General features: G+C 45.1%; 1 long non-coding RNA gene, 1 other non-coding gene, 1 pseudogene, 3 gene segments (V, D, J or C) and 1 further gene, besides 12 other annotated features; 1 reads left to right on the top strand and 6 right to left on the bottom strand.

Annotated features, from left to right (window-relative positions):
- Nucleotides 1-24,225, bottom strand: part of TRB (T cell receptor beta locus) — a 514,277-nt gene that overhangs the window by 329,745 nt on the left and 160,307 nt on the right.
- Nucleotides 485-493: a recombination feature (RSS_nonamer).
- Nucleotides 494-516: a recombination feature (RSS_spacer).
- Nucleotides 517-523: a recombination feature (RSS_heptamer).
- Nucleotides 524-988, bottom strand: TRBV5-5 (T cell receptor beta variable 5-5). The segment is given in 2 exon segments: nt 524-817; nt 940-988. Coding segments are annotated over 2 exon segments (343 nt in total), but the record flags the coding sequence as incomplete, so codon positions are not given.
- Nucleotides 8,936-8,944: a recombination feature (RSS_nonamer).
- MIR11400 (microRNA 11400) lies at nt 8,940-9,016 on the bottom strand. The gene has a single exon (NR_162121.1). It is a non-coding gene; the product is annotated as a microRNA 11400 (primary transcript).
- Nucleotides 8,945-8,967: a recombination feature (RSS_spacer).
- Nucleotides 8,968-8,974: a recombination feature (RSS_heptamer).
- On the bottom strand, nt 8,976-9,447 carry TRBV7-5 (T cell receptor beta variable 7-5 (pseudogene); annotated as a pseudogene). The gene is given in 2 exon segments: nt 8,976-9,271; nt 9,399-9,447. Coding segments are annotated over 2 exon segments (345 nt in total), but the record flags the coding sequence as incomplete, so codon positions are not given.
- Nucleotides 13,491-13,499: a recombination feature (RSS_nonamer).
- Nucleotides 13,500-13,522: a recombination feature (RSS_spacer).
- Nucleotides 13,523-13,529: a recombination feature (RSS_heptamer).
- On the bottom strand, nt 13,530-13,962 carry TRBV6-6 (T cell receptor beta variable 6-6). The segment is given in 2 exon segments: nt 13,530-13,824; nt 13,914-13,962. Coding segments are annotated over 2 exon segments (344 nt in total), but the record flags the coding sequence as incomplete, so codon positions are not given.
- LOC107986855 (uncharacterized) lies at nt 14,110-22,450 on the top strand. The gene is made up of 2 exons (XR_001745394.2): nt 14,110-20,313; nt 21,551-22,450. It is a non-coding gene; the product is annotated as an uncharacterized LOC107986855 (long non-coding RNA).
- Nucleotides 19,923-19,931: a recombination feature (RSS_nonamer).
- Nucleotides 19,932-19,954: a recombination feature (RSS_spacer).
- Nucleotides 19,955-19,961: a recombination feature (RSS_heptamer).
- TRBV5-4 (T cell receptor beta variable 5-4) lies at nt 19,962-20,426 on the bottom strand. The segment is given in 2 exon segments: nt 19,962-20,255; nt 20,378-20,426. Coding segments are annotated over 2 exon segments (343 nt in total), but the record flags the coding sequence as incomplete, so codon positions are not given.

Raw genomic sequence — 24,225 nt, 5'->3', positions numbered from 1 at the left:
CACTAGAGGGCAGTGTGAGGGCTCTGGTTTACTGAACAGGATACAGAAGGTGGTGATGAAACAGGGGGGTAGGTGGAAAATGGATGGACTAGTTTGTTTCCCACTTCTGATCCTTACAAGCCAGGAGACACCGGGGAAAATGACTCAATGTCCCTGAGCCTCCCATCTGTAAAGGAAGGATGAGAATGTTTGATTTGCAAGGTTGTGGAAAAGCTTTAAGATATGTAACATATACAAAAATCTAGCACACACCAAGCGCTCAGCAGTCACTCTTATACTGAAGTTACCCAGGAAGGGACAAGCTGCAAGAAGATGCAGCACAGAAGCAGGCACACTCAGGGCACAGGAAACCTGGGCTCTATTGGTTGGGAAAGGTCTGCCCTCAGTAGGACACAAGACATGCCTTCCAAGCAACTAAAAGCTTCCCTTGAAGGAGTGAAACCTGGGTGGGGCCTGCAGCTCTCAAGTCAAAGTTACGGCAGGAAGTTTATATACAGAATGTCAGTGATTCTGCCGGGCTGTGCCAAGCTGCTGGCACAGAGATACAGGGCCGAGTCCCCCAGCAACAAGGCGTTCACATTCAGCTCAGAGCTATAGTTAGGGAACTGGCGAGCTGAGAATCGATCAGGGAAGTTTCCTCTTCCTCTCTCTTCTTTCTCATAATACTGAAAGATAAACTGGGGCCCCTGACCCAGGACCTGTTGGTACCAGGACACACTCTTGTGCCCAGAGATAGGAGAGCATCTCAGAGTCACTTGCTGTCCTCTCGTTTTGATCAGGTGTGTGGGACTTTGGGTGACTCCAGCGTCCACTGGGCCTGTGGGAAAAGCAGATGGAGGATGAGCTCAGGAGACAGCCTGGAGGTCTTCTCCATGGTAAAGTGGAGGACACGGGTGGAAAAGCTGAGAATGGGGCTGCTGTCCTGTGCCCAGGACTCACCTGCTCCCAGGAGACAAAGCAGCACCCAGCAGAGGAGCCCAGGGCCCATGGCACAGTGGGGCAGGCAGCACTGCACCTGATTCAGGGCTTGGTCCTCCTGGGGAAGAACCCAGTGAGTTCTGAGCCTTGATTTTCCTGATGGGAGGGGTATCCTGTGATGTCACTGTCCTGTGTCCTCCCCATGCAGCCTTCCTTAAGTCTAGCGCACTACGGACCCTGGACTCAACCTGTCCTGCAGAGCTGGAGGAATGTGTGAAGGCAGAAGCTTCTGTGGTGATACAGTTGCTCCTCTACCTACACTGCCCCAGCTCACAGGCAGCCCCACCACCCTATCACCCTTCTCCCACCTAGTGCTGTGGTACTCCATCCTGGAGCTCACACACCTGCCCATCAGGGGAGGATGAGGAGCCTGTGATTAAACCTCAAGTTGCAGTTCTTCCTTGCTGTCCTCACATCATCTTTCTGATGCTAGATTCACACCATGTTTCTTATCATATTTTCCTGTCTCAGGCAACATTCCCAACCCATTTCCTGAGTGGCCAGCGGTGCAGAGTCCCCAAGATTTAGTCCATCTGATCAGAATCAAAGCAGACCTGTGTTGTCTGTAAATTATCAAGAGTTCAGATTCCCCAGAAATAATTCTAGGGCCTTCTCAGCTCATAGCACAGACCTAGCCAGCTTGGGACTCAGCACCCTCAAGGTCATCCTATACGTAGTGCTCTGGACAGTTTATGTTATTCCCTTCAGATCCACCCTGCCTTCAGAAGCTGACCCCAGTGTATTATGTTAACTGGCTCCTCTTTTCTCTAACTCCAGAGCGAGTTTGTCTTATTGGAGACAGGACAGCAGAGGTAGGTAGTGTCACCATCTGTGCTGGTTTGCAAAATCTATTCCCTTGGCTCCTTTCTTGCTGGGTTAAATTTCCTGGTGCCTGAAAGTAGTCCACAATAGCCTGAATGCTTAGCTGCTTAGATATTTCCTTCAGTAGATATCCTAGCTAATAGCTCATAATATTTTTATTCCAGAAAGTCCTAGAACAGGACACAATTTTTCCAAGGTTTTTGCTACCTACAACAAGGATAGCATTTACTTTGATTTCCGATATCTTGTTCCTCATTTCCCCCTGAGCCTTCACCAGAATTACCCTTAATGATCTATTTCAGCAATCTAGGCTTTTGCTTGTCTGCTTCTCCGAATTCTTCCAACCTCTATCCATTACCCATTTGCCATTAACCAAAGCTGTTTCTACATTTTCAGGTCCTTGTTGTAGCAACAGCGCCACTCTCAGCACCATGTTTTCTTTCAATTTCTTTCCTACTGCTGTAGAGAAATACCACAGACTGGGTAATTTATAAAGACAAGGGATTTATTTGGCTTATAGATCTGGAGACCGGGAAGTCCAAGATCAAAGGGCCATAACTGCTGAGGGCCTCCTGCTATTATCCAAGGCAGAAAGAAGGGGAAGCAAGCACCCAAGACAGAGAAAGTGGCTGAATTCATACTTTTTATCAGAAGACCATTCCCAAGACAACTTATTCACTCCCACAATAGGGCGTTGATCTGTTTCTGAGGGCAGATCCCTGATGACCTAGTGATAACTGTCCCACCTCCCAATACCATTACATTGACAAATTTCAACATGAGATTTTGTGGGGACACGCAAGCATAGCACACACATCTACACTGTGAGTCAGTATTTCCACTCTTAAGTCTATACCTAAAAGAAAATAAAAAAAAAAGAATCCATATATCCACAAGAAAGAATTCCACAAGAATATTCACAACAATTTTATTCATAATAGTTGAAGACAGGAGTAACATGGATATCCATCAACGGGAGCATGGATAAACAAGTTGTGGTATATTTACACAGTGGAATATTAGTCATAATAAAGAATGACCTGCTGATACAACAATATGAATACACTTCAGAAATACTAATTTTGGAGGAAAATAACTCAATAAAAATGTTATATGATTCCATTTATACGGAGTGCAGGAATAGACCAAGCTAGTCAATGGTGATAAAAATAAGAAAAGTTTTGGCCTGGCGCCGTGGCTCATGCCTGTAATCCCAGAACTTTGGGAGTCCGAGGTGGGTGGATCACGAGGTCAGGAGATCGAGACCATCCAGGCTAACACGGTGAAACCCCGTCTCTATTAAAAATACAAAAATTAGCCGGGCATGGTGGCGGGCGCCTGTAGTCCCAGCTACTCTGGAGGCTGAGGCAGCAGAGTGGCATGAACCCGGGAGGCAGAGCTTGCAGTGAGCTGAGATCACAGCACTGTGCTCCAGCCTGGGCGACAGAGTGAGACTGTCTCAAAATAAATAAATAACTGAGAAAAGTTTTTATCTGTGGGATAGAAATTGATTGGAACGGAGCATGACGACACTTTCCTGCATGACGGAAATTTTTTTATAATCATTTCAGTTACCGTTGCTCTGGCATATGCATTTGTCAAAATTTACCATGTTGTCCTTGTATTAATATTTCTGTTTTTATCTCTATTAGTTAAACCTTAAATAAAATTGTTACTAAAAAGTAAACAGTTAATTGCATAAAATATGGGAGTCATTTACAAATGTATGCTTGTATTCTGTACAGCCCAATTTAAAAATGAATCACACAAAAATAAGAAAAGACAGGAGCACACATATCTGTAAGTTATGGAGAATGTGAGAAGTGCTTGGTGACTGAAGTGGCAACTTTAAAATTTGGTATCAAAATAAGCTCAACTGATGCGTGGGCTGAAAAACAACTGAGGATCAATATCAAGGAAAGCTATAGACAAACAAAAGCTGTTTACAATATCTTTATATGCTGTTGAAATCATTCTGACAACCATGAGCTGCTATACATTTCATAACTTGGAAAATTGGGCATTCATCACTCTCACATTCAGACTTTCCTTTCATTTTGGCTTTCAACAGATTGGCCAATTGGTGAAGTGATTTTTTTGCCCAGCAAGCAGCCTGCTCCCCTCTTTGTGAGTGGGGTTCCCGGGTGACCCGGCCCTCTCCCTTCGACAGCCTCACAGAGGGGAGTTGGGCACAGCACAGACACACGGGGTTCCCTGCACGTGGGGTTTGCACTCCCTGTGAAGCCCAGCTCTGGACCTCCCAGTCCTGCAGTTAATGGATCCCAACTAAAGAAACCTTGCCTCTAGGTATTCGCTTTACCTGTTAGTGCTAAGGAGGGATACAGGCTGGAGAAAAATAAAATGTTTGCTCAATATTATTCTGTAATATTTTACAAGAAAATCAATTGAGGACTTCATGGATTTTCATCCAAGCCAAAGTCATGATAATAGCTGAATTCCTTCTTTAATCTACCCTGAGAAGACTTAAACACTGCTCTCAATAACACAAATACTTAGTGGAGACTTATTTATAGTCTCTTTTTGGTAATTCTACTAGTCAATTATCATCAGGTCTAACGGCACAGTTTGGTGCATCTACTAACATTTTTCTTCTGTAGTCTGTTTACTTAGGTGTTTTAGAGCTTGTTCTCAATATTTTTTGTCCTCCAGAGAACACATGCCTGGTGTCCAATGGAATCTCAGCCAAGGTGATGTTATCAGTACGACTTCTGAACTTCTAGAATTCCAGATCACTCAAGCAGATTAAAGCTGTTGCCTGGCCAGACCTGCAGGGAAGATGAGGTGCAGCAGAGACGCACTGGGCTCAGGACACAGCCCACCCCTCGCTTTTCCCTTTTCCTCTGAGGCAGTTGCTCCTCTACACCTGCCCCTGACCAAAATTTGCCCCGGCCAAAATTCCTCAACTGTAGATGTCATTAAAGATTAGAGGGACTTCCCGTCTCTTGCATAGCTGTAGGTAGCCTAGCAATAACTGAAAGCTGCTGCAACATCTGCATAATACAGGATCCAAGCCCTAATTTTTCTTAACCCTTTCCCTCCTAGGATGCTCTCCTAGACTCCCCAGAGACCTTTCGAGCTCAGTGGACCACACTGCCATCTTGTGGCCAATACGTGAAGTTTCAACATTGTTTCTTCTGTAATGGCCCAAGGAATGCTGGGAAGTGTCTGCAGAGGAAGCTGCCAGAATATTCCAGAAGTGCCATCACGCTGGTTTTATGAGCAGCTTCCCTTAAACCCTAAGTCTAACATTAGTTCTAACCCTGATTATTGCTTTGAGTTACCAATCTTAATATCCCACCCTCATTCTGAATAACACTTATCACATAGGTCCAGTTATAGTTTAACTTTTTCTCCCTTAAAACTACCATCTAAAGAAAGAGTAACAGAAGGAGAGGAATGAAAGGAAATAATATTTGGCTTAAAATAGGAAGAAAACACAGACATTGAAGTATAAAGAGATTATTTAATCTGAATCACTAAAGATAAACAAATCGTCCTCCAAAAATGACAATGTTACCCCAAAAGTATAGATCAGCAAAAGATGAAGTCAAATATCTATTAATAAAAAGTAAAATTGAAATATATAAAACGAGACCTCTTACAAGGCAATAAGCAATGAATGGTGGAGGGAGCAGTACCTAATGCAGAAAATAAGGATGGATATAACTAAGACTAGCAAAGGGGCTGCTACAGGAAATGATCAGCTTGTACAATGCACATCCACTGATCTGAGCACCAAACACGGAAGAGATGATTCTGAAACAGGCAGAGGAGCAGCGGGAGATGAGGACACGCTGGTACAAAATAGCATCATAAGGAAGCAAATCAGCCGGGAGACTGTGGATTAGATGACTTTGCTTTCTCCTGTCTCCTGTGACAGCTGAACTGGACCATTTTCCTCTCCAAGGATTTGCTCCTGCACCCTGAGTTAGAGGCCCCTGGGATTTGCTCCTCGTCAGATTCCCATGGATGAACTCCCACTCCCTCCTTGTTGAGCACAGTCTGAAGGAGAGGTCATCTCTCCCTCCCCTTCAATCCCACAGTATTGGGGAATGGCACAGACTTCTCAATTGGCATCGATCTCTCTCATGGCATGCTCACATGCCCCCTAACTGTGCCTTTTCATTTCCACTAGACTGAAAGTTAGATGTAGGCAATGAAACTTAACACCTTTATCATAGATACCCAAGTAACTGCTCTCAAAATTATTGCTATTTCTTTCACTGCCTTGGGTTACAGCTGAACTTTCCTGTACAGCACAATTTCCTGTAAAGGCACAATTTCTTAATGTGGCTTAACCACAAAAACCTTCCCAAGTGCCAAAAACAATATAACTACCAAGGGATTGCTCTCCTCATTGGTGAGATGGCACAATAAAACAAAAACAAAGAAAATTTTGTCAAATACTTTAAAGGAGACCCAGAACCCCAGTCCCTCTTATACAAACATCACTGTTTGGCCTCCCTCTACCTAAGAGACAGGCAGAGCCATTCCTGTGCCCTGCACCTGGTGGGAAAGCCCTGCTGGAGCCTGTGGGGAGCTGGTGAGGATGAGCCTTGGTGATTCTGCCTCCAGAGCAGGGATTCTCGGGGAGCTCTGGACAACTTCCAGGGACTGAGATGGAGAGTGGCCACACTCCGTCTTGGAGAGGAGAATATTGAGGGTGTGACCCTTCTGACCTCTCAGCCTAAAGTAAAAGCAGAGTCATTCCTGACTGGTGGGGAGCTGCTTAGTCTCCAAAGCAAAATTGTCCTTTTTACAGGGTCTCTCGTTGCCACAGAAGAATAGCGGGGCTGTAAGTGTTTCACAACCCAGAGTTGCTGCTTGGCCATCTCTGTTCCCAATGACTCCAGCATCTGAATATTCCATGCAAGGAAAGATAATTTGTAAATAATGAACTGGTTCAGTGATACCTTTAGTTACATTCAAAATAGTTGTCATGTTCCAGACTGGCGTGCTTGCAGGAGACACAGAGCTACAGAGCAAGAGAATTTGGGAGCTGGATAGAAATGGGAGCAATCAAGGCCCCCTTAGATGATGGCTTCTAAGAACAGAGTAGAGGAGACATAAATTCTGAGCCCTTTTGTCCCTAAAAGACATGGCATAACAGGGACATCAGAAAATACTCCAGTGATGTGCTGATAAACTGGGTGTCTGTGAAGGTGGGGGCATGGCTGGTAGCATTTGCTAATTTCTGTTGTACCAACATACCCACCATGGCAGATTTCAAGCTCCCAGCATGGCTTCACTGAACAGGGAGCTGGGAAAAGTATGCCTATTTGATTCTTCTGACTCATACAAGCTGGCTCCAGCACATCCCTAGACTCAAGAGCAAAGCTTTCAAAGTTCGTCAATGCTTCCTACTCAACATACTAAAATGAGGCCACAGCAACTATAGCACACCTCATTGTTTTCATGATAGGATCAGTGTGTGATCCTGGATCTTGGAATGGACAAAGGGATGTTTGTGCAGAGAAAGGATTTCTGAGTCCTCTGAAGCTGCCAAGATCACAGAGCAAATAGCTATGTTGGTTGGTTGGGGAGCCGCTAGCCTTTGACTTGATGTAATTACTGTGAAAGTTTTCTCCTACTTAACTTAAGACAACAGAATGACTTCATTAGAACAGAAACTGCATTCCTTGCTATTTGTTCATTAGTACCATCTACCCTTTGCTCCTCTTGCATGTTCATTCTCAGTATAAATTGGAAGCCCTGCTCGTTTTTGCTACATGTTCTTGCAGCGCCGTTGACAACTATAGACTGTGTTTTCTTCAGCCTCAGTGTCAGAGCTTGTCCACTGTTAGGACCAGCTATCTCAGGAGTCACATGGAGGAAAGTGGCAGCAGTTAGACAAAGGGTCTAGGAAGACAGGGAATTCCCATCTGTGCTCTGGACTTACTCAGTCCCAGGAGACACAGGGCACCTGAGCAAGGAGGGATTTGATGACGACACAAGAAAAAATGGGTCAAGAGCAACTCCCTGCCAGTGACCATCATTCTCTGGAGAAAGAAATTTGGTATCTGTACCACCACAATTTCTGATCAGTGAATTTGGAAGGACTATGATGCCCCTCCTAGCTATGAAAGACTCAGGGCACCTCTATCATGGTTGCATCTGGGACACTGAGTCCCACACTTGGAGAAGTGGTCTGTCGCCAAGGACTCCCAGAAACCCACGATCCATAATCACATCAGCTCTGACCAGTGCATTCGCTTTCACAGATACACACTGCAGCAGCACCCACAGATAGGTGGAAGATTCTATTGCAATATAATCATTGTACTTCTATTTATAACAAGTACTATATAGTACTATCTATTATGAAAAATAAAATAAAAAGGAATAGATTCAATATTATAAATAAAACACTTCTTGAGTTAAAGGCCTCGGTAAAATTATTTCAAATCAAATGAGTTGGACAACAATGAAAACACTCAGAGTCTAAAAATCAGATTTCCTGAGGGAATCGATGTGAACAGGCAGCAGTGGTGAATGCATGCTTCTGTCTATCAGGACAGTAGCAATGGCAAATGGAAATAAAATAAAGGATACAAGTGGCTTAAAGTAGGCAGAAGAAATGAAGTCTTATTGTTACCATGATTGTATTTATCAAGTAAAGACCACGAAAGTTGCAAAGACCTTTACTTTAAACAGGAAGAGAGGTTCGATATTTTGTTGCAAAAATTTCCAAGGTGACAGGAATAGAAGAGGCTTTAGAAGAAAGATATTCCTGGGGATGTAGCCTCAGACCTTCCAGATGCCCCAAAATATGCAGGAGAAGAGCATGTTTCCTGCCCTTGACAACCTCATATATGTGGGTAACACAGCAGCCTCCAAGACCTATAGAAGATGCATGTCTGCCCTGAAGGCCAAGGCTAAGACACCCACTCCGTTTGGAGCAGTGAGCTGGCTCCAAGCACTCCTAGAGGGCAGTGGGACGTGATTGTTTTCACCACCTACATTTGCAGTCACTGTGTTTCAGGAATGAATCTGTGGTCTCTTTCTACCCAAAGGACAGCCGATGTCCAATTCTACTTATTTCCCACGAAAAGTGAGGATCAAAGATAGGCCTCTATTAAGGGTCTCTAGGAGGTGCAAGGAGAGAGAAGGATGAGGTTTGTGAGCAGGAAGGACACGACTGTGCCACACTGTGGCTAAGCTTCTGACACAGAGATACACAGCCGAGTCGCCCTTGCTCTGTGCGCTGGATCTTCAGGTGGAGAAAGATCCTCAGACCTCTCTGTGGAGAATTGATCACTGAGCAGCCCTGATTTATCTTGTTGAGTTTCATCCTGGAAGGAAGTCAGAAACTCTTGGCCCTGCCCCAGGGTCTGTCGGTACCAATAAAGGGTTACCTGACCCGAAATTGGATCACACCTGGGAGCTACATCCTGTCCCCTCTGTGTGACTTCGTACCTTGGGGACTGGGAGACTCCAGCACCTGTGTGATCTGTGGAAATAGAATTTGGCAACAGAATAAGGAAAACATCTGTAGTCATCGCACACACACACACACAAACACACACACACCTACACACAGAGAAAAAATAAAACTACTTAATGTTCTGAGGACTCACCTGTCCCTAGGAAACCCAGGACCACCCAGCAGAGGAGCCTGGTGCCCATGGCAGGGTCAGGCCAGGATGGGGGCTTTACCAGATCAGTGTCACTCTGAGCAGGAGCAGAGGACGAGGAATGTCCTTGTCTCCACAGGGCAGTTCCCACAGTAACATCACTTCCTCTCTCAATCCCCAGGATGTCAGGGTCACAGTATTTATATTAGAACACACTTTAAATATTTATAAGCTCCTTTTTAACAACATCAATGCCTGGCTCATTGCTTTGGGCTCCCGTGCTGTCTGGAGCCAGAGGCCTCACACTGCATCTCTGAGTTCATCTTCTCATCCTACAGCCACTCCTCTGTCTGCTGGGCATGTCTTGTAGGATGTGCCAACAGCATCCCCAAAACAAGGCACCAAGGCATTAGCTCATTGTCTATCCTGCAATTCAGGGTCCCCTCTGCCATCCCCATTTATGCCCCAGCCTCCTCCATTCCCTCAGTCACACGTGCCCAACGGGGCAGCCCCATCACTTGGGTTACCTCACGAACTGCCCTCATGCCTTTCTTCTGGGATCATTTCCCACCTTTCTTAACTGTAATTCAGAAAAGAAACCTTGATAGCAAACTCACAGCGGTCATTTTTCATGTTCCCCTTCTAAAAGTTATTTTTTTTAATCAATCTTACCTTAAATGAAGGAGAATGATAATTGAGCTAATGGTTATTTTTACCACTGTCTTAACTTACTGTTGTTCTCCATCTATTCCTATGGGACGTATTTGTCTTTTCTTTCTGATGGCTTTCAAAATCTTCTCTTTGTCCGTCATGTTCTACAATTTGCTTATGACTTGACTGCCTTATTTGAGATTCATTGTGATTCTGGAAACTCTGAATTTAGGTCCTTAAACACCTCAAAAAACTTCTCAGCTAACATCTCATAAATATCACTTCATAACATTCTACCTATTTTATCTGTCTGAAAATTCAATCATATGCAACAAAAAATGGGAAATTATGAAAAATATGCATATTCTAATATATGGGAAACATCCATTTTTTTCTTCCCTGTTCTCTAACTTCTTTCATATTTCACTTTTCATTTTCCATGCTGCATTCTAGATCACTCCTGCAGATCCATCTTTGAAATCACTAAAAATCTCTGTAGGAGGAGCTAATCAACTGTTTGACTTTCCATTTTGTTTTCAGTGATTGTATGAGGCATTCCTAGATATATTTTTTGACAATTGTTATGAAAGTTGATGGTTTCAGGCATTGTCTTTTTCCTAGTTTCAGTTCCCCGTCATGTTCATTTAAATGTAGCTCACCAAACTTTCATATCTTATAATGCCAACATTTCGAGTCTTCAGGTTTGCACTTCAAATGTTTGTTGCTTGTGCTCATGTTTCCTCATTGCTATCTCCTAATATTCTTCATACTGGGAATCCATTTGTTCGATGGTAGTCTGTGACATTCCAGTGAGGCCCAGAGTGAGAGTGAATAACACTAAGAGTCAGTCATTTTGCAGCCATCTCCAGTCTAACTCCCTAATGTATGGCGCCAATAACTGCTGCACTCTAGGCTGCCAAATACACACATGACAAAGGTCGGTAGGGTCAAAAATGCTCTCAGGACACTCCCAAGGAAAAATTCAGAATAGAATTCAAATTTTCTAATTATTTTTAATAAAGCTCTTTCATAAATAAATGCCATTAAGCCATGTAGTCATCATGACATTTTCTTCTAAGGAGAAATTACACATACATATTTATAAATACATATATACTCATACATATATAGACCCTCTGGGTGAGAGAGACTTCAGACACAGTATTAAAAGAAAAGTTAGTCACCAGCGTCTGGAACATCTACATACAAATTGTGTCCACATTCACCTGGGCAGCACAGGTGTCCCCCGGAGAGGAGTCCATGGACCGTGGCAGGTCGAGACAGTTGTGTGATCTGATGCCTTAATCTGGGAGAATCCATCCTGTGCTGGATTGTGTTAAGTCAACTTTGCAAATGAAGAGTCTGACTTTCCCAGAATGCCATTTCTGTTATCATTCTGGTTAGAGATGGTCAAGGATACATTTGGTAAAATTTAGAAGACAGATATAAAACAGTCACTATAACAATTGGCAAGTCATTGTGGTCAGACAGTGAGAGTCAGTGACCAGCAGATACAGAGGCATCCAACAGACCTCGGAAGTCCTGTTCCTTCTGCACCCTGTGTCCAGTTCATCTTCCCAAATGTTGGCCAACAGCAGCCAGGCTGCCCACAGTGTTTGGCAGTGCACCTGCAGGGGTGGCCCCCATAGACAAGGAACAGCTTCCCCAGAAGCAGGTTTCCTTGGCCTTTTCCTGTGCTCCCGGCTCAAGGTCCCACTGCATGTCCTGGTATGCTCTGATCCTCTCATGTCCCTGCCACTCTAGCCTGTCCTGCCCAGAGCTTCAGGAGCCCTGACTACTGACTGGCTCCCTCACCTTCTGACTTCTCTCCTCCAGACCTTGTCTTCCTCAGCTCCTCCCACATATGCATAAAGTCTAATTCTGATCATAAATCTGTTACACTCTCAAACTTGTAGTGGCCCTGTTTTATTGATGCAAACCTAATGGAGATTTTCTTACCAGAAGTGGTTTCAAGGAACAACCTTTAAGGATGGAATTCTAGAAGTGGATCTCTGATCTGTCTAGATTTGTTGTGGGGAAAGACCCTGAAAGAGAGCACAGAGACCTGGAGGAGGTCAGGTACTGCAGCCACAAGAGAAAGCCTTGAGCCAGATGTGGCCGCCATGATAGTGATTCCCCATCAATTTCCAAGATCGACCTGAGCCCAGCAATCAAAGGGGTGGGCTTTCTTGTACTTAATGCTAGACCTCTGCCAGTTTACAGTAGATGTAGTGTGTTCCTACTATTGGTTCGTCCACCCACTCATCACTCATTCAGCCTCTCGTTCACTCATCCATTCTCTGTGAAATGGGTATCCCCACACACCAGGCACTGATGTTGTTAATGCAGCAGGCACAGCCTTAGCTCTCATGGGCTCAAAAATTGAGTGGAGAGGCCGGGCACGGTGACTCACGCCTGTAATCCCAGCACTTTCGGAGACCGAGGCAGGTGGTTCATGAGATCAGGAGATCGAGACCATCCTGGCCAACATGGTGAAACCGCATCTCTACTAAAAATACAAAAAAGAATTAGCTGAGCATGGTGGCACATGCCTGTAATCCCAGCTACTCGGGAGACTGAGGCAGGAGAATCACTTGAATCAGAGTCAGAGGTTGCAGTAAGCGGAAATCATGCCACTGCACTCCAGCCTGGTGACAGAGTGAGACTGTCTCAGAAAAAAAAAAAAATTGGGTAGAGCACAAAAATCATCAGACAAGTATCTGAGAAAGCCTAATTGTCCTAAGGGTTACTAAGAGACATATGATTCTATGAGAGCTTATGAGAGGAAAATTGATCTCAGCTGGGCGGTGAGGGATTGCTTCCTGCGGGAGGGCAGATCATTCTGAGATCTGAAGCACAGGTAGGAGCTGGCCACTAGAGAAAGGAAGTCTCCATCCAGGGCAGAGGAAATGGCCTTTGAAGTCTCTGTGATGGGAAGGAAGGAGTCTCAGAAGAGGTGCTCCCCCCATGGCTGCAGTAGAGAGGGGCGGGGAGGCGGGGGATGGAAGGTGACTGCCCAGATGGGAAAGATAGGCCACAGGACAGACCATGGGTGGGGTGGGGGAGGGGAAAACTCTAGATAGAGGAAGCAGCATGCTCACCAGGGAGAGGACAGCCTAGATGGATCTGAAATACAAATCCTGTTTCATCCTGGGGGCCTCGGAGTCAGGATGATGAGTAGAAAAGTAGGAGCTGGGGAAGCCCTGGCCCAACCCCAAAAGGAGAGCTCAGAGGATAGACCAGAGAGAGCAACAAAGGAGACATCTGAGGACCTGGGACCAGTCCAGGCCTGGCTGAGATGGCTGCAGGAGCACCTGGCACAGACTGAGGCTCATACTGTCCGGGCCACTTAGGGCCACTCGGGGTTCCAAGGTCCCCATTGCAGAAAACTCTGCCCAGGTCATCCCTGAGTCTTGGGTGGGGGAGGAGGGCAGAGCCACCCTGCCTTTATGTGCAGAGAGGAGATGGTCTTGTAGCGCTGTGGAGTAACTGCTGGCACAGAAGTACACAGATGTCTGGGAGGGAGCAGCCAACTCCAGCCTGAGCGGGAAATCCTCTGTGGTTGATCTGGAGACGTTGTAGCCATTCGGGACTTCTCCTTTGTCAGTGATACCAGCACCAACTGAATAATAAATCAGCTTCAGCCCCATGCCTGGGTCTTGTCGATACCAGTACATGTAGTTATGGTTCATATCCTGGGCACACTGCAGTGTCATGCTCTGTCCTATCTTCAGGATGCGGAATTTTGGGGTCTGAGTGACACCAGCATTCACTGGACCTGCAGAGAAGGAAACAGCTGATGCTGCAGCCCCAATGGAAAGGGGCTGGGCCTTGAAATCTATGCAAGGGGCCCTGTCCAGGACCCACCTGCCCACAGGAGAGGAAAGGCTGCACAGCACAGGAGGCTGATGCTCATGGCAGGTGCTCCAGGACGGAGGGGTCTTCTGTATCTGTGCATTGATGAAAGGGGAACAGGACTCTCAAGGAAGTCATTCTGAGACCTCATTCTCCCTGCCTGGGCCCCAGAGCCTTCCTGTCAGGAGAGGCCACGCCTCTTCCCCAGATGGTTCAATCCAAAATAAATGCGCCAGAGAACAGCTGACAATGAGAAGAAAACATTTGTCTGAATTAAAACAAGTCTACAAGATTTTCATAACCTTTGGTAAACAGTTTGTAATTCACTGTAAATTTTATTTTTTCAATGATATAATTAATAGTCTGGTGTTAGTTATCTACATAGTGCTGTAGTCTAGAGTCTTAGGGCAATTCCTCATGTCTTCCTGGTGTTTTTGACTACTGCGTCCCAAATACTCCTTCAAGTATCATTTTCTAATTTGCTTAATTGACCATAATCCTGTTTAAAATCCTTTGTCTATATTGGTTTTCTCTGTTATTAGCTTTCCAGATCCCACGGGCAGGCTCATCAACATTGGAGGAATCATTTTGCTCTGTTTCTTGTCAATCCACTGACAGATGAGACTCCTGACAAGCCCAGCTGAGCACCTTCAGCTCCACCCAGGGCTCTTGCTTTCCATGCCTGGGGTGAGACCACAGCAGGCAGAACCACCTCACGCTGCTGACTGCCCTCTCTGTATGGATGATGGTGGCCACCCAGCACAGCCCATGACCTATGGACACAAACGTGGCCTGATGCATGATTAGGCCACAGCTCCTCACAGAGCTCCTCACAGAGCTCTCTGGTCTAGTATATCCATATCACTGTCTCTGCTACATCTTGTGATGGGAATAATTTTCTCAAAACTCAGGTCTTCTGGTTGTAGGCCACTAACCACTTACACACTCTAGTACCTCCCCACTGCCAACACCATGATGCTTCTATCTGCAGTGCTGTAGGGTACACAGGCTCTCTTAACTCTGGTGTCCGATCTGAAGACAGCCCCAGATGGTTCTAGACTTCCCCTCTGTCAAAGTCCAGTGACCCCTCTATCAATTCCACATGGAAGCAGGCTGACTGCCCTTCATCTGCCTCCACCATTTATTAGCTCTGAGACCGTGGGCAAGGCCATTCATTAACTTTCCTGGATTCTAGCCTCATCTAGACTCATCTATAAAACAAGACTAACATTCCCCTCAATGCTTTATGAGGTTGAACTGAGATACCGTGTAGTCTCTGTTAGGTTTGATAAAGGTCTATCCTTTTATCCGTCCCTGTCTCCTCATGCAGGAGGAACCAATGGAGCTCTCAAACCTGCCAGGACTATGAGTGATGGAAACGCTGGAATCATCAACTGGGTGCTGGGGTGAGAGGAACTCGGAAGCACAAAGAGGCCATTCAGTCACTTTGGAAAAGATCTGGCAGAATTTAGGAATCAGACAATAGAGCACAAATGTACCTGTCTACCCTCATTATGCAATGTGAAGCAGCTAATAGGAGCAAGTTAGATCTATATCAACCAATCTGGAACAATAAAGACCAGGATATATTAACAGAAAAGAGTATGCATGTGGCAGGTAAAGTGTACAGGTGAACCCATTTTCTGTAGGTGTACTTGGGTAGAAAGGTGTGCATGAACACAGAAAAGAGGGGTGAAAAGAAGCACACCAGAGCGTTAATATTGGTTATGAGTGGAAGGTGGGATTGGATTGGAGAGCATTATTGACATTTTCATTATATATATTATTTAATTTGTTTATTAAAAGTTCTTAACCACATGCAAGCTTTAAGTTTACACTTTTTGTCAGACATCAGAATTTGTAGTGTCTAAATGGGCAAAGTACAGAAAGCTTCTGTTTATGGAACCCCCTATAATGGCCCATTTATTTTTTTTACTAAACCGAGGAGAAAGTGTGCTCTGTAAAAGCACACGAGCTCCTGGTGAACACAGACAGTCTCTGACTGCTGAGGAGGGTGAGCATCGAGGTCGATACATTTGATGGTGAGGTCAGCTTGGCTGATTATGAACTAATAAGGCTTCTACCTGTGAAAGCCTGATCACCACGGGGAAGTGGAGGATCTCACCCCTTGTTCTAGAACAGCCTTTGAATAGCCCCTGATTGGAAAAGGAAGAGAAATGAGCACCCTCTAGTGCCTGCATTTCCAAACTCAGTGAGAGCTCGTTTCCAGTTTTACATTGTTCAAGCTTTAGAAATGCTCTTTGTTTCTGATCCAAGTAGCAGTATTATTACAATGTCGATTGTAACGATATTCCAGTGTTTATCAACAGCACACAGCTTTCTCAAATAGAGCTTTAGTGAGTGGGTGGAAGAAAATGCTGTCCCTAGGGAAGATGTTCTGACTGTGGTCTGTTTAAGGTTCAATTATTTAAAATAGCTAGTCTATTTTTGGTCTTTATTGCCTAAAGAGATAAAACTGCATTTGTCTTTAAAGCATAGATGCAAATCACTCCAGCAAAATTGGGGCTTCGGTCTATCTGTGGGCCATCCTTGGTGATTGTATATTTGATTATTTCCACCCAGAATGGCTCTCACAATTCTTCAGGGACTAACACATAGCCCTGCTCTATATGTGGAGCCTCTGCCTCACAACCAGCCTTTCCTAACTGGCAAAGGAGGGGAACAAGCAAAGGTCTCTGTTCAGTGCCCTGAACCAAAATCAGGTGTGCGCTGGAGGAAGCTGGTGACCATGAACTCTGTGTCTCTGACATTGCCCACCAATTCATGGAAATGGAGACTAATGATATAGTTCAGTGTAGCAGCCACCATGGCCTCAAAGCCACCCAAAGAATGGAGAAGCCATTTGTTTTTTTCTCCATGAACTTTTTTTTTTTAGAAAGAGTCTTGCTCTCTCGCCCAGGCTGGAGTACACTGGTGAGATCTCAGCTCACTGTGAGCTCCACCTCCCTGGTTCACGCCATTCTCCGGCCTCAGTCTACTGAGTAGCTGGGACTATAGGCGACTGCCACCACGGCTGGTTAATTTTGATTTTGTATTTTTAGTAGAGTTGGGGTTTCACATGTTAGCCAGGCTAACCTGACCTCATCATCTGCCCTCCTTGACCTCCCAAAGTGCTGGTATTACAAGCATGAGCCACTGCACCCAGCCTCCATCACCTTTTAATGCCAGTATTTAATGCTATATTTCACACCACTCTGCCAATGATTAGGTGCGCGAGACTCCCAAATCCAGGACACCTGTGAGGGAAGGACATTGGAGGAGAAAAGCCAGGAAGGCGGTGGGCAGTTAGGAAATTCAGTCCTGCAGAAAGGCTTGGATCCAGTTACTCATCCATGACAGGGATTTCTCCTCTGTTTCCAGGACTCATTAGATCCTAGGAGATGAAGGGATAGAGGTTCCCGCTTAATGCGTCCAGACTTCTGAAACACTCTACGTGGGAACCCAGAGGGCCTTTCACTATCCATCCTTTATTCTTTCAAGATTGGCCACTGGCACCTGGAACCGCTGTTTGTACTGATGATAAAATCAGGAACAAAACATCCACAATTTCTAAAATGATGCGTTTTACAGTCTAGAGAGCAAGAGAAGAGTCCATTAGTCACCCGAAGTCATGGAAAATGACAATGGTGTTAAATCTATGAATACTAACGCACATTATGAGCTGTGAGGATTTATATTAAGGAGGTGCAGCCTAGGAAAACTGTTGAAGGAGCGTATCCCTAGAGATGGTAGTGGTTAAACTGAGATTTGGAGCAAGAACAAAAAAGAAGAGACTTGTGTTGACCCAGAGGATACAGCGTGGAGTGGAAAGGGCTTTGGTAGGAGGAGCATGACGCGTGAGGAATGGCCTGAACTGAGGCATCTGTGGTTGACCTGGAGGTGAGGATGCAGAGGAAGGGAGAGGACAGCTGGGAGCGGACATCACGTGGAGGAGGCTGAGGACTGATATGAGCGTGGTGTGGGGAAGATGGAGTTGTGAATGCTGACAGGGAAAAGAACATAGACCTGTGTTGTCAATGCTGTCTGCAAATATACAACTTCAAATGAGCTTTCCTTTCGAGAATAACTGAAGAAAAGGACTTCTGAGGCCAGAGCTGCAGGAGGGGCCTGGAAGAGAGGCTGCATCCACTCACATCATGGTAAAGTACATTCCGTCGTCCAGCTGAGACTGGCCTGGAAGAGAAGCTCAGCACAGGGCAGAGTTTCCCATGCACAGAGCTGCTCAGAAATCTGAGGGCCCCAGCCTGGGCAGTGTTGGGGAGACTTCTATGGGACAACGTCTTCCGCTGCCTGGATCGCAGTCTCGTGAAGACGAGGCCACCTATATCTTCCACTGAGCATTGTGTGCAGAGGAAGGTGGCTGTGGGGTGACTGCTGGTGCAAGAGGGCACAGAGGTCTGGGAGAGGCTGTCTGACACCAAGGCCACATATTTGGCTTTGAGAGAAAGTTACAGACCCTCAGCAATTTCTCTGTAGTGTGTGCTGGGACGGATCAGCTGTGCACCAGCTTCAGCTCCTATTAACACCTACACATGTAGTCATGGATGACAGTCTTAAGCATCTCCATGTTGCTTCGCATCCTGCCTTTGTTCTCTGGTATCTTGGGATCTGGTTATCCCAGATTCTATGAAGTCTATGATAGAAGGAAGTTGAGTGCCCAAAGAGGGACCTCAATAATGTAGACCTGTGGTAAAGGCTTAGGCTAGGATGTGGTAAGCCAAGGAAAAGGCTTTAGGGGACTCACCTGCCCCCGGGAGGTAAAAGGCCTCACCATTGAGGAATCTGGTGGCCAAGGCAGGGTCAGGGAAAATTCGGCGAATTGTGGGAGGTTTTTCAGCTTGTGCGTTGGGGACATAATTCCTGGATGTCAGTAGAGTCACTGGTGATGCCACTGCCCCTGCCAGCTAGTGATTCTGCCCTCTGCCTGCAACTCCTCCCTCTACCTGCTGCAACCTTCAACCTGAAGTCCAGTCATAAACATTCGCCCATGTTGTCTCTGCTCCTGGCTGTCTTTCTTCTACAAGACAATAGACAGACAAGGTTCATGATAATTTGCCTTCCAATTATCTCTCCACTGTCAGCACGAGGTGTCCACTTTAGAGCTCTTTTTGACAGACGATTGCTTCTTCACTGAACATATGTGCTTCCCTCCAATTCCTAGGTCTCTATCTTATTTCTCACATGAGATATATTTCAGGTTCATTTATTCTTATTGGTGAAAATCCAAACTTAAATTTTAGTAGAATAAATTGAGAAAAATATCATTAGACATTTATATGAGAAAGCAGTTTTTGTCTACACACAAACAAAATTGTTTTTAGTTATTGTTGCATTAAATTAAACTTGTGTAAAACACCATAAAAATGAAAGTGTAGGCTGCAGACTGGGGATAGACAAAGGGAATGCATATAAATGATTTTTAAAAAGTGTTAAATTTAACATTCCTCAAAGTTTCTAATGAAGAGGCCAGAGTAATGACCCCTGAAGACATGTAAGCCTCTAGTGAGGCCCTGCTGGTCACTAGATGGCAGTTTGAGGGCTCTGACTTACTGACCAGGACACAGAAGGTGATGATGGAGCAGGGGGGTAGGTGGAAAATGGATGCACTACTTTGTTTCCTACTTCTGGTCCTTACAAGCCAGGAGACACTGGGGAAAATGACTGAATGTCCCTGAGACTTCCATCTGTCAAGGAAGAATAAGAATGATTGATGTGCAAGGTTGTTGAAAGACTTTAAGCTATATAACAAATTCAAAGAATCTAGCACACATCTGGGGCTCCGCAGTCACTCTTCTACTGAAGTTACCCAGGAAGTGACAAGCTGCAAGAAGATGCTGCACAGAAGCCGGCACACTCAGGGCATAGGAAACCTGGGCTCTGTTTGGGAGAGCTCTGTGCTCAGTAGGACACAACACATGCCTTCCATACAACTAAAAGCTTCCCTTGCAGGAGTGAAACCTGGGTGGGGCCTGCAGCTCTCAAGTCAAAGCTAAGGCAGGAAGTTTATGTATAGAATGTCAGAGACTCTGCCGGGCTGTGCCAAGCTGCTGGCACAGAGATACAGGGCCGAGTCGTCCAGCTCCAAGGCGTTCACATTCAGCTCAGAGCTATAATTAGGGAACTGGAGACCTGAGAATCTAGGAGGGAAGTTTCCTCTGCCATTCTCTTCCTCCCTATAATACTGAAAGATAAACTGGGGCCCCTGACCCAGGGCCTGTTGGTACCAGGACACAGTGTTGTGCCCAGACTGAGAAGAGCATCTCAGAGTCACTTGCTGTCCTCTCGTTTTGATCAGGTGTGTGGGACTTTGGGTGACTCCAGTCTCCACTGAGCCTGTGGGAAAAGCAGATGGAGGATGAGCACAGCAGAAAGCCTGGAGGTCCTCCCCAAGGTAAAGTGGAGGACATGGGTGGGAAAGCTGAGAATGGGGCTGCTGTCCTGTGCCCAGGACTCACCTGCTCCCAGGAGACAAAGCAGCGCCCAGCAGAGGAGCCCAGGGCCCATGGCACAGTGGGGCAGGCAGCACTGCACCTGATTCAGGGCTTGGTCCTCCTGGGGAAGAGCCGAGTGAATTCTGGGCCTTGATTTTCCTAATAGGAGGGGTATCCTGTGATGTCACTGTCCTGTGTCCTCCCCATGCAGCCTTCCTTATGTCCAGTGCTCAGTGGATGATCCTGGAGTCTCTACCTGTCCTGCAGAGCTGAAGGGATGGGTGAAGGCAGAAGTTTCTGTGGTGACACAGTTCCTTCTCTGCCTACGTTGCCCCAGCTCACAGGCTGCCCCATTGCCCTCTCACCCTTCCCCCACCTAGTGCGGTGGTGCTCCATGCTGGAGCTAACACACCTACCCATCAGCGGAGGGTGAGGAGCCTGTGATTAAACCCTCACATTCCAGCTCTTCCTTGTTGTCCTCACATCATCTTTCTGATACTAGATTCACACCAATGTTTCTTATTATATTTTCCTGTCCCATCAACATTCCCAGCCCCTTTCTTCAGTGGCCAGTGGTGCAGAGTCCCCAAGATTTAGTCCGTCTGATCAGATCCAAAGCAGACCTGGGTTGTCTATAAATTATTAAGAGTATAGATTCCCCAGAAATAATTCTAGGATTTTAAGAGCTCACAGCACAGGGTTTGGCTTATGGGAGACAGGACAGCAGAGGGAGGTAGGGTTACCATCTGTGCTGGTTTGCAAAATCTATTCCCATGGCTCCCTTCTTGCTGGGTGAAATTTCCTGGTGCCCGAAAGTAGTCACACAGTAGCCTGAATGCTTTGCCGCTTAGATATTTCTTTCAGTTGATATCCTAGTGAATGGCTCATAATTTTATATTCCATAAAGTCCTAGAACAGGACACAATTTTGCCAAGGTTTTTGCTATTTATAACAAGGATGGTATTTGCTTCAATTTCCGATAGCTTGTCCCTCATTTCCCCCTGACACTGCACCAGAATTGCCCTTAATGCTCTGTTTTCAGGAGTCTAGGCTTTTGCTAGTCTGCTCCTCCCAATTCTTTCAACCTCTATCCATTAGCCACTTCCCATTAACCAAAGCTGCTTCTACATTTTCAGGTATTATAACAACAGCCTCATGGTGCCATATTTTCTTTCAATTTCTTTCCTACTGCTATAGAGAAATACCACGGACTGGGCAATGTATAAAGACAAGAGGTTTATTTGGCTTATAGATGTGGAGACTGGGAAGTCCAGGATCAAAGGGCCACAGCTGGTGAGGTCCTCCTGCTGTTATCCAAGGCAGAAGGAAGGGGAAGCAAGCACTTAAGACAGAGAAAACAGCTGAATTCATCCTTTTTATTGGAAGACCATTCCCAGGAAAACTAAGTCACTCGCCCAATAAGGGCATTGATTTCTTTCTGAGGGCAGATCCCTTATGACCTAGTCATAGCTGTCCCACCTCCCAATACCATTCCACTGACAAATTTCAACATGAGCTTTTGTGGGGACACGCAAGCATAGCACACACATCTACACTATGAGTCAGTATTTCCACTCTTAAGTGTAGGTTTTAAAAGAAGAAAAAAGAATGCATATGTCCAAAAGAAAGATTTCCACAAGAATGTTCACAACAACTTTATTCATAATAGTTGAAGACAGGAATAACATGGATATCCATCAACAAGAGAATGCACAAAAAATTTGTGGTATATTTATGCAATGGAATATTAGTCATAAGAAAGAATGACCTACTGATACAACAATATGAATACACTTCAGAAATACTAATTTTGGAGAAAAATAACTAATAAAATATGATTCCATTTATATGAAGCTGAAGAATAGACAAAGCTAGTCAATGGTGATAAAAACAGAAAAGTTTTTATCTCTGGGATAGAAATTGATTGGAAAGGAGCATGAGGACACTTTCTTGAGTGATGGAAATTTTTTTTATAATCATTTCAGTTACTGTTGCACTGGTGTATGCAATTGTCAAAATGTACCAGGATGTTTTTGTATTAATACTTGTGTTTTACTCTCAATTATACCTTAATAAAAAGTGTTACTAAAAATTAAACAGCTAAACTGCATAAAAGATGGCAGTCATTTACAAATGTATGCTTGTATTCTGTACAGCCCAATTTAAAAATGCATCACACAAAAAGAAGAAAAGACAGGAACACACGTATCTGTGTAAGATATGGAGAATGTGAGAAGTGGTCAGTGACTGAAATAGGCAACATTGAAATTTGGCATCAAATTAAGCTCAACGGATGAGTGGGCTGAAAAACAAGTGAGGATCAATATCAAGGAATGCTTTAGAAAAACAAAAACTTTCTAAAAATATCTTCATATACTGTTGAAATCATTCTGAGAACCATGAGCTGCTATACATTTTATAACTTGGGAAATTGGGCATTCATCAGTCTCACAATTGAACGTTTCTTTTCTTTCTGGCTTTCAACAGATTGGCCAATTGGTGAATTGATTTTTTTGCCCAGCAAGCAGCTTTCTCCCTCTTTGTGAGTGGGGTCCTGGGAGACCCGGCAGTCCCCCTTTGGCAGCCTCACAGAGGGGAGTTGGGCACAGCACAGACACACGGGGTTCCCTGCACGTGGGGTTTGCACTCCCTGTGAAGCCTAGCTATGGACCTCCCAGTCCTGCAGTTAATGGATCCCAACTAAAGAAACCTTGCCTCTAGGTATTCGCTTTACCTGTTAGTGCTAAGGAGGGATACAGGCTGGAGAAAAATAAAATGTTTGCTCAATATTATTCTGTAATATTTTACAAGAAAATCAATTGAGGAGGTCATGGATTTTCATCCAAGCCAAAGTCAAGATAATAGCTGAATTCCTTCCTTAATCTACCCTGAGAGGACTCAAACACTGCTCGATGCCCACAAATACTTAGTAGAGACTTATTTATAGTCTCCTTTTGATAATTCTACTCGTTGATTATCTTCAGGTCTAACGGCACTGTTTGGTGCATCTACTAATATTTTCCTTCTGTAGTTTGTTTACTTAGGTGTTTTAGAAATTGTTGTCAATATTTTTGGCCCTCCAGAGAACACGTGCTTGGTATCCAATGGAATCTAAGCCAAGGTGATGTTATCAGTACGACTTATAAACTTGTAGAATCCCTGATCACTCAAGGAGGTTAAAGCTGTTGCCTGGAGAGACATGCAGGGAAGATGAAGTGCAGCAGAGATGGACTGGACTCAGGGCACAGCCGGCCCCTTTCTTTCGCCTTTTCCTCTGAGGCAGTTGCTCCTCTGTCTGCACCTGCTCTGACACCAAAGCTGCCCAGCCAACATTCTTCAACTGTAGATGTCATTAAAGATTAGAGGGACTTCCCGCCTCTTGCATAGCTGTAGGTAGCCTAGCAATAACTGAAAACTGCTGCAACATCTGCATAATATGGGATCCAAGCCCGAATTTTTCTTAACCCTTTCCCTCCTAGGCTGCTCTCCCAGACTGCCCAGAGTACTTTAGTTCCCAGTGGACCACAGTGCCATCTTGTGGCCAATAAGTGAAGTTTCATCATTGTTTCTTCTGCAATGGCCCAAGGACTGCTGAGAAATGTCTACAGAGCGAGCTGCCAGAATATTCCAGAAGTGCCATCCCGCAGGTTTTATGAGCAGCTTCCCTAAACCCTCATCCCAACACTACTTCTAACCCTGACTATTGCTTTGAGTTACCAATCTTAATATCCCACCCTCATTCTGAATAACTCTTATCACATAGCTCCAGTTATAGTCTAACTTTTTCTCCCTTAAAACTACCATCTAAAGAAAGAGGAACAGAAGGAGAGGAATGAAAGGAAACAATATTTGGTTTTAAATAGTAAGAAAAC

The sequence above is a fragment of the Homo sapiens genome, chromosome 7, assembly GCF_000001405.40.
Source record: "Homo sapiens chromosome 7, GRCh38.p14 Primary Assembly".
Taxonomy (NCBI): domain Eukaryota; kingdom Metazoa; phylum Chordata; class Mammalia; order Primates; family Hominidae; genus Homo; species Homo sapiens.
Note: the sequence above shows the minus strand (reverse complement) of the source record. Positions and strands in the feature narration are given on the sequence as shown.